The following is a 14,085-nucleotide window of genomic DNA, read 5'->3' as shown; positions in this document are numbered from 1 at the left end:
TTACAAGGGATGTGAAGGACCTCTTCAAGGAGAACTACAAACCACTGCTCAATGAAATAAAAGATGATACAAACAAATGGAAGAACATTCCATGCTCATGGGTAGGAAGAATCAATATCGTGAAAATGGCCATACTGCCCAAGGTAATTTATAGATTCAATGCCATCCCCATCAAGCTACCGATGCCTTTCTTCACAGAATTGGAAAAAACTACTTTAAAGTTCATATGGAACCAAAAAAGAGCCCGCATCGCCAAGTCAATCCTAAGCCAAAAGAACAAAGCTGGAGACATCACACTACCTGACTTCAAACTATACTACAAGGCTACAGTAACCAAAACAGCATGCTACTGGTACCAAAACAGAGATATAGATCAATGGAACAGAACAGAGCCCTCAGAAATAACGCTGCATATCTACAACTATCTGATCTTTGACAAACCAGAGAAAAACAAGCAATGGGGAAAGGATTCCCTATTTAATAAATGGTGCTGGGAAAACTGGCTAGCCATATGCAGAAAGCTGAAACTGGATCCCTTCCTTACACCTTATACAAAAATCAATTCAAGATGGATTAAAGACTTAAACGTTAGACCTAAAACCATAAAAACCCTAGAAGAAAACCTAGGCAATACCATTCAGGACATAGGCATGGGCAAGGACTTCATGTCTAAAACACTAAAAGCAATGGCAACAAAAGACAAAATTGACAAATGGGATCTAATTAAACTAAAGAGCTTCTGTACAGCAAAAGAAACTACCATCAGAGTGAACAGGCAACCTACAAAATGGGAGAAAATTTTTGCAACCTACTCATCTGACAAAGGGCTAATATCCACAATCTACAATGAACTCAAACAAATTTACAAGAAAAAAACAAACAACCCCATCAAAAAGTGGGCAAAGGACATGAACAGACACTTCTCAAAAGAAGACATTTATGCAGCCAAAAAACACATGAAAAAATGCTCATCATCACTGGCCATCAGAGAAATGCAAATCAAAACCACAATGAGATACCATCTCACACCAGTTAGAATGGCGATCATTAAAAAGTCAGGAAACAACAGGTGCTGGAGAGGATGTGGAGAAATAGGAACACTTTTACACTGTTGGTGGGACTGTAAACTAGTTCAACCATTGTGGAAGTCAGTGTGGCGATTCCTCAGGGATCTAGAACTAGAAATACCATTTGACCCAGCCATCCCATTACTGGGTATATACCCAAAGGACTATAAATCATGCTGCTATAAAGACACATGGACACGTATGTTTATTGCGGCACTATTCACAATAGCAAAGACTTGGAACCAACCCAAATGTCCAACAATGATAGACTGGATTAAGAAAATGTGGCACATATACACCATGGAATACTATGCAGCCATAAAAAATGATGAGTTCATGTCCTTTGTAGGGACATGGATGAAACTGGAAATCATCATTCTCAGTAAACTATCGCAAGAACAAAAAACCAAACACCGCATATTCTCACTCATAGGTGGGAATTGAACAATGAGATCACATGGACACAGGAAGGGGAACATCACACTCTGGGGACTGTTTTGGGGTGGGGGGAGGGGGGAGGGATAGCACTGGGAGATATACCTAAGGCTAGATGACGAGTTAGTGGGTGCAGCGCACCAGCGTGGCACATGTATACATATGCAACTAACCTGCACAATGTGCACACATACCCTAAAACTTAAAGTATAATAATAAAAGAAAAAAAAAAAGAAAACTACAAAAAAAAAAAAGAAATTTAAGTCTGCAAAAATAAAAGGTTGGAACTGCAAAAAAAAAAAAAAAAAAAAAAAAGAAACACACTGAATGCCACGGATTGTAAGAATATTGTTAAAATGACCATACTTCCCCCAAAACCTACAGATTCAGTGAAATCCCTATCAAAATACCAATGACATTATTCACAGAAATAGGAAAACCATGCTAAAACTTGTATGGAATTAAAAAAAAAAAAATAGCCAAAGCAACCCTGAGCAAAGAGAACAAAGCTATAGGCATCACATTACCTGATTTCAAAATACACTACAAAGCTATAGTAACCAAAACAGCATGGTACTGGTACAAAAACAGACACATAACCAATATAACAGCATAGAGAAACTAGAAATAAATCCACCAGGAAACCTCAGTGCTTGTGTTTCCACATCACTGGAGTCCTAGCAGACATTTCTCCGCACCCACATGAATTGCAGCAGGCACACAGGGCTGGCTGAACCGAGGAGAGCTTCAGGGTTCCCAGTGTCCCAGTCCTCAGGGAATGTTGTTCCTAAGGCAAGAGTGCAACCCGCCAAAGGGGCACCCCTTGAGACAAAAGAGACCACAGTGCATGCTTTCCCTTGCCTTAGAGCTGCCCATCTGTGGGGTAGAAGTGACTGCACCACTTCCAGTGGAAATGCAGATGTTGTGCTTAGTTCTAAAAGGGAAGAGTGTGGTTCCATCCCAGGAGCCAGGCAGCCTCAGTGCTCAGGCGCAGATACAGAGAGGGAGACTTCTCTCCCACCATTACCCACCACTGCACACAAAGCCATGGCTACTCCTGCAGGAGGCTGGCAAAGGCACACTGGAGGATGCCTATTCTAGGGCGATTAGGGGGCAGCAGCATCCCCACTGGTGGTGTGCCCATCAGGCCCAGCCTTGCACAAAATGCAGGGCCCCTCCCAGTAGCAGCATACCTGCAGTGAAGAGCAGGACAACCACAGAGCTGTGTGCTTTGGGATGAGGGAGGAAGTTCCACAAAGAAGACATTTTGACTGTGAGCCACAAGATAGATATCTTCACAGCTCTTGGCTACACTGCAGCCTGGAGATAGAAAGCATTGTCTGTCCAATCTGAGTGTTCCGAGCACTGGACAAGAGCATGACAGGGAAGTGGATCATATTCCTGCCTGTATAGGTCATGGAGCTGGGGCAGCAACCCCACCTCCTGTGGGGACCTCAGCAGATTTCACCAGGAGCTCCCCTTGCCAGTCTAATCAGTGCTGGTGCTTGTGCCTGGCACTGGGGTATCTGAGAGTAAGCATGGGGGTTCAGATCTGCCTGGCTTTGTTCCCCACCTCAGTTACTGAGCAGGGATCTAAGGCCACTGTGTATTCTATAGACCAGCCCAGTTCCTGAGGCAACAGAGAGCTGCTTCTGGTAAATAAAGTCCTTTATCTGTCTAGCATATACACATCTGCTTCTGCCTCAGCCAGCCCTTACCTGTAAGCGCCACCTACTGGCCTACAGGTTGAACTGCAAAACCCAATATAAAATCTGCTGACACAAGTGCACAGCACCAGGAAACAAGGTTAGTTTCCTGAGACCTCGCCAACCTGGTCCCGCAAGAGGGAGTGAGACTGTTCATACATCTAGTGCATTGTTACTACAACCAGCATTTAAGAAAACCACCCCACAAAGGTTGTCTATTACAAGGAGTTCATATAGTCTTTACCACTAAAAGCATCCAGAACCTAATGACCCTATACAACATACATTATAGTCACATCTTCAAGGGGAAAAACTAATACCATCCAACATAAGTAAATTCAAAAATAAGAAAAATAGTTTATTTAGAAAAGAAGGAAACAGAGAAACAATTCTGAAAATATAAAAAAACAGCATTACAACACCCCCAAAGGATCACACTAATTCCTCAGCAATAGATCATACTAACCAAAATGAAATCTTTGAAATACCAGATAAAGATTTCAAAACTGATTTTAAATAATCTCAGTGGGGCTGAGCATGATGACACACAGCTGTAATCCCATCACTTTGGGAGGACAAAGCCAGAGGATCACTTGAGGCCAGGAGTTCAAGACCAGCATGGGAAACATAGTGAGTCCCCTATCTCAAAAAAAAAAAATTAAAAATTAAAATAAAAAAAATATATATATATACACACACACACACACACATTATATATATATATATATATATATATATATATATATATATATATATATATATATATAAAAATTAGATGAGTGTGGTAGTATGTGCCTGTAGTCCCAGAAACTTGGGAGGCTGAAGGATCACTTGACCCCAGGAGTTCATGGCTGCAGTGAGCTATTTTTGCACCACTGCACTGCAGTCTGGGCAAGAGAGTGATACCCTGTTTTAAATTAAAAAAAAAAAAGGCTCAATGAGATCTAAGAAAAAGTTGAAAACCAACACAAAGAAATCAGAAAAAAATATTTAGGACATAAATGAAAAATTTACTGAAGAGATACACACTTTTTAGAAAAACCAAATAGAACTTCTGGAAATAAAATGTTCACTGAAGACAATAGACTAGAACAAGCAGAGGAAAGAATCTCAGAGCTTGAAGACAGGTCTTTCTAATTAACCCAAACAGACAAAAATAAAGAAAAAAGATTTAAAAAGTGAAAAGCCTTCAAGAAGTAAAGGATTATGTAATATATCCAAACCTATGTGTTATAAATATTCCAAATGGAGAAGAAAAAGAAAAAGTTTTGGTATACCTATTTGAGGAAATAATTGAGGAAAATTTCCATAGTCTTGCTAGAGATTTAGATATCCAGATATGAGAAGCTCAGAGAACTCCATAAAGATATACTGCAAGACAGACCTCAGCAAGACATAGTCATCCAACTATCTAAAGTGAACGTAAAGGAAAAAATCCTAAAATCAGCAAAATAAAAGCATATAATCACCTATAAATGAGTCACATCAGACTGACAGCAGACTTCTCGGCAGAAACTTTATAAGCCAGAAGAGACTGGGTCCTATTTTCATAGTTTTTTTCTTTTCTTTTCTTTTCTTTTCTTTTTTAAGATGGAGTCTTGCTCTGTTGCTCAGGCTGGAGTGCAGTGGCGCTATCTCGGCTCACTGGAAGCTCCGCCTCCCGGGTTTACACCATTCTCCTGCCTCAGCCTCCAGAGTAGCTGGGACTACAGGCGCCCGCCACCATGCCCAGCTAAGTTTTTTTGTATTTTTAGTAGACATGGTGTTTCACCGTGTTAGCCAGATGGTCTTGATCTCCTGACCTCGTGATCCGCCCACCTCGGCCTCCCAAAGTGCTGGGATTACAGGTGTAAGCCACTGTGCCCGGCTTCATAGTTCTTAAATAAAAAAGTGTCAATCATGAATTTTTTATCCTGCTAAACTAAGTTTCATCATGAATGACAAAGTCTTTTCTAGACAAGCAAACACTAAGGGAATTAATCACCACTAGATCAGTACTAAAACAAGTGTTCAACAGAGTTCTAAACATGAAAACAAAAGGTTGATACTTGCCATCATAAAAACACAAAAAGTATAAAACTCAGAGGCCTTATAAAACAATTACAAAATTGAGACTACAAAGCAACTAGGCAACAGTTAACATTATGACAGGAACAAAACCTCATGTATCAATATTAACTTTGAATATAAATGGATTAAATGCACCATTTAAATGATACATATTGGTGGAATAAATTTTAAAAACAGGATCCAACCATATACTGCTTACAAGAAACCCATCTAACTTGTAAAGACATTTATAGACTCAATGTAAAGGGGTGGAAAGGGATATACCATGCCAACAGAAACCAAAAGTAAGCAGAAGTGGCTATATTTATATTAGATAAAAAAGACTTCAAATCAACAACAATAGAAAAAGATAAAGGAGGTCATTATATAAGGATAAAGAGAACAATTCAACAAGAAGTTATAACAATCCTAAATATACATGCCCCAAAACCAGAGCACCTTGATTTATTAAACAAATACTACTTGACCTAAGAAAACAGACAGCAATAGAATAACAATGGGGAACTTCACCACCCCACTGACAACACTAGACAGATAATTGAGACTGAAATCAACAAAGAAATCCTGGACTTAAATTGGACTCCAGGCCAAAATGGACCTAACAGACATGCATAGAACACTCTACCCAATAACCACAAAATGTGCATTCTTCTCATCAGCATATGGAACATTTTCCAAGATGGGCTATATATCAGGACACAAAATTAGTCGCAATAAATTTTTTAAAAATTGAAATCATGGCTGGGCACAGTGGCTCACGCCTGTAATCCCAGGACTTTGGGAGGCCGAGGCACGTGGATCACTTGAGGTCAAAAGATCAAGACCATCCTGGCCAACATGGTGAAACCCCGTCTCTACTAAAAATACAAAAATTAGCTGGGCGTGGTGGTGCACACCTGTTGTCCCAACTACTCGGGAGGCTGAGGCAGGAGAATCACTTGAACCTAGGAGGTGGAGGTTGCAGTGAGCCAAGATAGTGCCACTGCACTCCAGCCTGGCAACAGAGAGAGACTCCGTCTCAAAAAAAAAAAAAAATTGAAATCATAGAAAGTATCTTCTCGGACAAAAGCAGGATAAAGGTAGAAATAATTCCAAGAGGGATTCTACAATAAACTATACAAATAAATGAAGCCTTATGAGTACAATGTACACTACTCAGGTGACAGTTACACTAAAAGCTCAGACTTCACCTTACACACTACATCCATGGAAAACAACTTCACTTGTACCCCTGAAATCTATTTCTTTTAAAAACAGAGGTAGGCATGGTGATGTGTGCCTGTAGCCTCAGCTACTCCAGAGACTGAGTTGGGAGGATTTCTTGAGCTCAGGAGTTTGAGGCTGCAGTGAGCTATTACTGTGCCACTGCACTCCAGCCTGGGTGGCAGAGACCTTGTCTCAAAAGAAAAATGAAAGTAAAAAGGAAGACATACAAATGGCCAGGAGGTAAATGAAGACATGCTCAACATCACTAATCACCAGGGAAATGCAAATCAAAACTATAATGAAATATCATCTCTCCTCAGTTAGAATGGTTAATATAAAAAAATTCTGGTGAGAATGTGGAGAAAAGGCAACTCTTACACACTGTAGTGGGAACGTAAATTAGTACAGCCATTATGGAAAACAGTAAGAGAATTCTCAAAACAACTGAAAACAGAACTACCATATGGCCCAGCAATCACACTACTGGGTATTTGATATGGTTTGGCTGTGTTCTCACCCAAATCTCATCCTGAATTGTAGTTCCCATAATCCCCACATGTCATGGGAGGGACCAGCAGGAGATAACTGAATCATGGGGGTGGTTCCCCCATCCTTTTCTCGTGATAGTAAGTTAGTTCTCAAGAGATCTGACGGTTTTATAAGGGACTCCCTCCTTCACAGGGCACTCATTCTTCTCCTTCCTGCCATTATGTGAAGAAGGACGTATTTGCTTCCCCTGACACCATGATTGTAAGTTTCCTGAGGCCTCCCTAACCATGCGAAACTGTGAGTCAATTAAAACTCTTTCCTTTATAAATTACCCAGTCTCAGGTATGTCTTTATCAGCAGTGTGAAAAGGGACTAATATGGGTATTTATCCAAAGGAAAAGAAATCAATCTAAAAGATACTGGCACTCCCATTTATCAGGGCACTATTCACAATGGCCAGGATATAAAATCAATCCGTCAATGGATGAATGGATAAAGAAAATGTGGTGTAGATACACAATGGCATACTATTCAGCCATAAAAAAGGAAGTCCTGCCATGTGCAACATGGTTGGATCTAGTGGTCATTATGTTAAGTGAAATACACCAGGCACAGAATGACAAATATCACATGTTGTCACTCATACGTGGGAGCTAAAAAAGTGGATCTCATGGAGGCACAGAGTAGAATGTTTACCAGAGGCTACAAAATGTGGGCAGGAATGAAGAGGTTTGTCAATGGGTACAAACATACAGTTAAATGAATAAGTTCTAGTGTTCAACAGCCCAGTAGGGTGACTGTAGTTAACAATATATTATATATTTCAAAATAGCTAGAAGATATGAAAAATTCCCAACACAAAGAAATTATAAGTGTTTGAGGTAACAAATATTCTAAATACACTAATTTGATTATAATTACTATGTATCAATAAAAAGATTTTTTTAAAGGAAAGAGGTGAAATTCTGCCTCATTCCCCTACAAGGTTACAGAAAAAAAAATGGCATTATAAATGTTTGATTCTAATCATCACAAGACTTTTGTTGTGTTGTTTCCAACCTGGGCTTGTACCCTTTCCTTCAGGCAAGTTGGTCATCCCCTACTCCCAGGAGTTTACCATACTAACATCCATGTTAGTGCAGACACCCAATCAGCATAATGCACTACAGCCCAGAAATCCTGGATGCAAGCAATTCTCCTGCCTCAAACTCCAAGTAGCTGGTGCCTTTTACCACATCTGTCTATAGATATTTTCCCAAAGATATACATATGGCAACAGGTGTATGAAAAGGTGTTCAGTATCACTAATCATCAAATAAATGCAAATCAAAAGTAAAATGAGATATCACCTCACAAGTGTTAGAATGGCTATTTTCAAAAAAAAAAAAAAAGGAAGAAAAAAAAAAAAAACAAGAGATAACCAGTATTGATGAAGTTGTAGAGAAAAGAGAATCCTTGTACACTAAAGATGGGAATGTAAATTAACATAGCCATTATGAAAAACAGTATAGTGGTTCCTCAAAAAAATTAAAACAGAACTATCATACAATCTAGCAATCCCACTTCTGGGTATATACCCAAAGGAATCACATCAATATCTCAAAGAGATATCTGCACCCCCTCATTCATCCACAATAGCCAAGGGGTGGAAACAACCTAAGTGTCTGTCAGTAGATGCATGGGTAAAGAAAATATGTGGAATATATACAATAACATTTTATTCAATCACAACGAAGAAGATCTAGCCATTTACAGCAACATGAATGAAATGTCCTGGAGGATATTATGTAAAGTGAAATAAGCCAAACACATAAAGACAAATCTGTATTATCTCACTTATATGTGGAATCAAAAAAAAAAAAAGAACTCTTAGAAACAGAGAGTAGAATGGTGGTTGTCAAGGACTGCAGGGTGGGGAAATGTTGATCAAAGGATACAAACTTTCAGTTCTAAGATCAACAAGTTCTAGGGATCTAATGCACAACATGTGTGCTGACAAATGTGATAATCATTATGTAACATGTATATAATATACCCAATCATCCATTGTACACCTTTAATATATACAATCTTTGTCAATTAAATATTTTTAAGCTAAAAAATGTTTAATTAAAAAATGTTTGATTTTGTCTTCAATTTCAGGAAGAACCTGCACAGATCTGATACAATCTCGTCCATAAACATGTAAAATTCTAAAGGGAAGCCATTTGAGACTGAAGTTTTCCTTGTAAGAAAGCGTTAAACTAAAAATTAGTTTTATTTGATAGATATATTACAGTTATTATATACAGAAATAGATCACCTATTTCTTCAGTAAGCCTTAGTAGTTTACGTCTTTCATGGAATTTGTCCATTTCATCTAATTCGTCAAATTTATTGGCATAAAGTTTTTCACAATACTTCCCTCATTCTCTCTCTCCCAGCCTCTATTCAGTTTTTCTATTTCATGTATTTCTGCTCAGATCTTTATTATTTCTCCTTTTCTATTTACTTAGGAATTAATTTGCTCTTTTTCCGTTTTCCTAAGGTGAATGCTGAGGTCACTGAGATCATTCTTTTCTAATATAGACATTTAAACTATAAATTCTTCTCTACTGCTTTAGCTGCATCCTACAAATTCTAATACCCTTCATTTTTATTCTAGTCAAATTCATCGTCATTTCTTTTTTGACTCATGAATTATTCAGATGTATGTACATTATAAACATTTTAAGATTTTCCAGATGTTTTAAATATTGATTTCTAATTTAATTCCACTGTAGTCAAAGAACATACTTTATATGATGTGAACTCTATTACTTTTATTGATTCCTTCTGCCTGAAGAAATTCCTTTAACATTTCTGGTGGTTCAGGTCTTCTAGTAATACATTCTTTCAGCTTAGTTTATATCTAAAACATCTTTATTTTGCTTTCATTTTCTAAAGATAATTCAGTGGGTATAGAAATCTAAGTTCTTCTTTCAGATTTTGTTCTTCTGTCCTCTCATTTACATTGTTTCTGATGAGAGCTCTTGTTATCCTTATTTTTTATTCTCTTTACCACTGCTTTTGAGTAAACTGATTATAGTGTGTTCATTTTTTATTATGATGTATATTCTTTTGTTTCTTCTACTTGAGATTCATTAAACATCTTTCACCTGTAGGATTGCAGTTTTCATCAAATCTAATTTTTTTAGTCATTATTTATTTAACTATTTCATCTACCTCCTGTCCCTTTTTGGAGACTCAAAATTACATGTATATTAGGCTGCCTGAAGTTGTCGCACAGCTAGTTCATGCTCTTTTCATTATTTTGGTTTATTTTATCACTTTTGGGCTTCATTTTTGAGAATTTCTATTGCTAAGTCTTTAAGTTCACTAATCTTTTCTCCTCCTTTCTTCGATCTGCCATTGATCTCATTCAGTGTATATTTTATCCCAGACGTAATTTTTCCCTCTAGAGATTCAAACTTGGGTGTTTTTTAAATACCATCCAGCTTCTATTTCATTTTTTGGACATATTGAATACTGTTGTAAAAACCACTTTAACATCATTGTTTGGTAATTCCAATATCTGTGTCAGTTCAGGGTTGGTTTCAAATATTGATTATTATTCTTTTTAATCATATTGAAGTGCTGAGTGTTTCTAAATTTCTATAATTATCCCTGAGTTTTATTCTGGTATGCAGTTAAACCATTTGGAAATAGTTTGATCCTTTTGGTCTTGCTTTCATCAGTTGTTTTATGATTTACAGTGCTCAATCTACTGATGATAATTCCCCACTATTGAAGCAAGTCCTTCCTGAGTATTCTACCTGACGCTCTGTGAATAATGAGCTTTTTCAGTGTGCACTGTAGGAACAGACACTATCTGCAGCACAGTGTAAATGCAGGCACTGTACTATTAAATCCATTCTAATGAGTGTTTCCCTAGCCCTGAGTAGTTTCCTCACATGATGCCTGATGAGCACACTGCTGAATACACAGAGGATACCTTCTACAGATCTCTAGGTCTCTTGAAGCTCTCTCCTCTTCAGTACTGTGTCCGGCCAACTCTAACTGCCTTGTTCTCCCTAGAATCTCAGTTCTGTCTCCTCAGTTCAGTGAACCCACTGGATTTCCCTTGAATTCCATCTCCCTGCAATGCAATGCAGAGGAGATGCTCCATGCAGTAAGCTGAAGCAATCTTACAGCTCACCTTATTTATTTCCTGTGTCTAAAGGATCACTATCCTTTGTGCTTGATGTCCAGTTTCTTTAAAACCATTATTTAGTATATTTTATCTGTGATGTTGCTGTTGTTCAGGTGGGAAGGTATATATACTGTCTGGGTATATACAGTCCCATTGACTTTATCGTGGGCAGAAGCAGAAGTCTATATTGATTTTTAAATATTAAATCAAGTTTATATTCTCAGATAAACAATATTTGGTCATGATGTGTTATTCTGTTTACATATCTGGATTCAATTTGAATATTTTGTTTCACATCTAAGTTCATGAAACAATATAAATATAATGGCTACCACAAGAAGAGAAATAAAGAACACTACCACCCTGTCATATTTACTAGAAGTAATCAGAATGACAGGACAGAAACAGAAGTACAAATTTTATGCAAAACTTTTCAGGCACTGACAAAAGAAACAAGACTTACAGGTAAGATGGTCTGGATATACATTATAATGTTTTGCAAGAAGATTCAGCAAACAATTTATTTTTTTGTTTTTGTTTTTGAGACAGTCTCACTGTCACCCAGGCTGGAGTACAATGGTGCAATCTTGGCTCACTGCAACTTCCACCTCCTGGGTTCAAGCAATTTTCATGCCTCAGCCTCCCATGTAGCTGGGATTACAGGTGTGTGCCACCACACCCGGCTAATTTTTATATTTAGTAGAGACAGGGTTTCGCCATCTTGGCCAGGCTGGTCTCAAACTCCTGACCTCAGGTGATCTACCCGCCTCGGCCTCCCAAAGTGATGGGATTACAGGCATGAGCCACTGCGCCTGGCCCAAATAATTTCTTTTCAAAGTAAGTTTAATTATTGCATTTAAAATCGAGGTTAATTTCTAAAGCATTGCATAAAGGGAGGAATATTTACATACGCTGCATATGGTTGCAGAGACCCATAACTGAAAAGAATTAGGTAGAACCTAGAAGAGATGAAAGCATGTATAAGAAAGAACAAGAAGAAAAAATAAAAAAGAGTCCTAGCCATTAGTAATGTTCTCTAAGCTACAGGTCTCACTGGATCTAATTATCTCCTTACCTAGTAACAGTATTCTGAATTTTTATAAAAATATTCAAATACTGAAAGTATACACGGATTTATTTGAGCTCTAAGAAAGAAAAGTGGTGTAAACCATTGTTGCTCTTAGAGTTAACTAGCTCTCTACATCTACCTAGGAATATAACTGTGTTCCATGGCAGGTATCTAGTCCTCATGAAAACTGGGAAGTGAGAAACAGAAGTCCACACAAAGTAATGATACAGTACCTCACAAGATCTGCCTAGATGTAAAATGTCAAAAGCATTACTATAATACCAAAATCAGGGAACTAAATAACAGCCCTTTAGATAGGTATCAGAAGAGGAACTTTCACTTCAATATGCATTGTAAGCTATCATGACTTTCCTAAAATATACCTTTACATCTTTTGTTGCAAAAAGGTGGTTCATCTCATAAGTGGGAGTTGAACAATGAGAACACATGGACACAGGGAGGGGTACATCACACACCAGGGCCTGTTGTGGGGTCTGGGGGCTAGGGGAGGGATAGCATTAGGAGAAATACCTAATGTAGATGATGGGTTGATGGGTGCAGCAAACCACCATGGCACATGTATACCTATGTAACAAACCTGCACGTTCTGCACATGTATCCCAGAATTTAAAGCATATATATTAAAAAAAAAAAGTGGTTCATGTTACATGGATGGTTTCGTAACTTCTAGTAGTTGTGTACTACGAACTAAACAAGATTATGCATGAATTTTTCCCCATAAGAAGGCTCAGATAATATTTAAAAATTAATAATTCCTTTCTATTAAAATTATGAAGCCATTTCATACATACCATACTAAACAGATCAGAGATTTAGTAAGACCAAGGAGTAAACCAAGATAGGTAAGGGGATAAATTATATCATGTAATGCTTGCATTGTCTTTGGAAGAACCATATTGTCCCTATATAAGTACTCGTTAACTTTTGTTTCATTTAACCTTTAGAGAAATAAGGTTCAAAAGTCTAATTAAAGTCCTCTTATCTCATTTACCACCTTCTCCCTTGTCACTTCCCTAAAGCTACACATATAATGATCTAATCTTTGTTCCTGGAATAAGTCCAATATGTTCCTCACTCAGAGCCTTTGAATTTCTTCTTCCTCTGCCTAAACCACTTTCTTCAGATATCACCAAGTTTCAACTCCTCATCTTCTTCAGGACTCTACTCAAAAGTCACCATATCATGAAGGACTTCCCTAACCATTCTGTTTATAAACTAGCAATGCACCACCAGCCCTAGAACTTCCTATTCCTCTCACTGCATTCTTTCTTTTGCATGTATCCTCATTTGATATTTTACCATTTTTCTCTCAATCTAAGATATTACTCAGTGTAACATCACTCTGACAGAAAAAATCTGCCAACTATAATTGTAAAAAAACTTATGTTTCCCAAATTTTTTGACAAGCTGATCCTAAAACTTACATGAAAATGTAAAGGACCCAAAATAGCCAAAGCAATATGGAAAAAGAAGAACAAAGCTGAAGGACTCGCACTTGTTAACTGGTTTTACAATTACTATAAAACTACACTTACTATATTTACCTACAAAACTACAGTAATCAAGAAAATGTGGTATTTGTATAAAGACAGAAATATAGATCAACTGAACAGAATTTAGAGTCCATAAATTTTCCCTTATATTTTTGGTCAATTAATTTTTGACAACTGTGCCAAGACAACTCAATGCGGGGAAAGAATAGTCTTTTCAACAAATGATGGTGGAACAATTGCACATTTACTAGGAAAAAACTTAATTTAGATTTTTATCTCACACCACCACAAAAAATGAACTCAAAATGGATTATAGGTCTAAATATAAAAGCTATTATTATAAAAGTCTTAGAAGAAA

General features: G+C 37.5%; 1 protein-coding gene across 22 annotated transcripts in view, besides 1 other annotated feature; it reads right to left on the bottom strand.

Annotated features, from left to right (window-relative positions):
* Positions 1 to 14,085, bottom strand: part of DOCK3 (dedicator of cytokinesis 3) — a 709,272-nt gene that overhangs the window by 409,332 nt on the left and 285,855 nt on the right. The window lies entirely within an intron of this gene.
* Positions 3,236 to 3,295: a silencer, noted in NCBI's record as "silent region_14407". NCBI's record gives its function as "represses an Ori minimal core promoter by ATAC-STARR-seq in GM12878 lymphoblastoid cells {active_cell/tissue: GM12878}" and the evidence as "EXISTENCE:reporter gene assay evidence [ECO:0000049][PMID:35858748]".

Source organism: Homo sapiens, chromosome 3 (genome assembly GCF_000001405.40).
Source record: "Homo sapiens chromosome 3, GRCh38.p14 Primary Assembly".
NCBI lineage: Eukaryota > Metazoa > Chordata > Mammalia > Primates > Hominidae > Homo > Homo sapiens.
The sequence above is the reverse complement of the archived record's forward strand: the minus strand, read 5'-3'. Positions and strand labels throughout refer to the sequence as shown.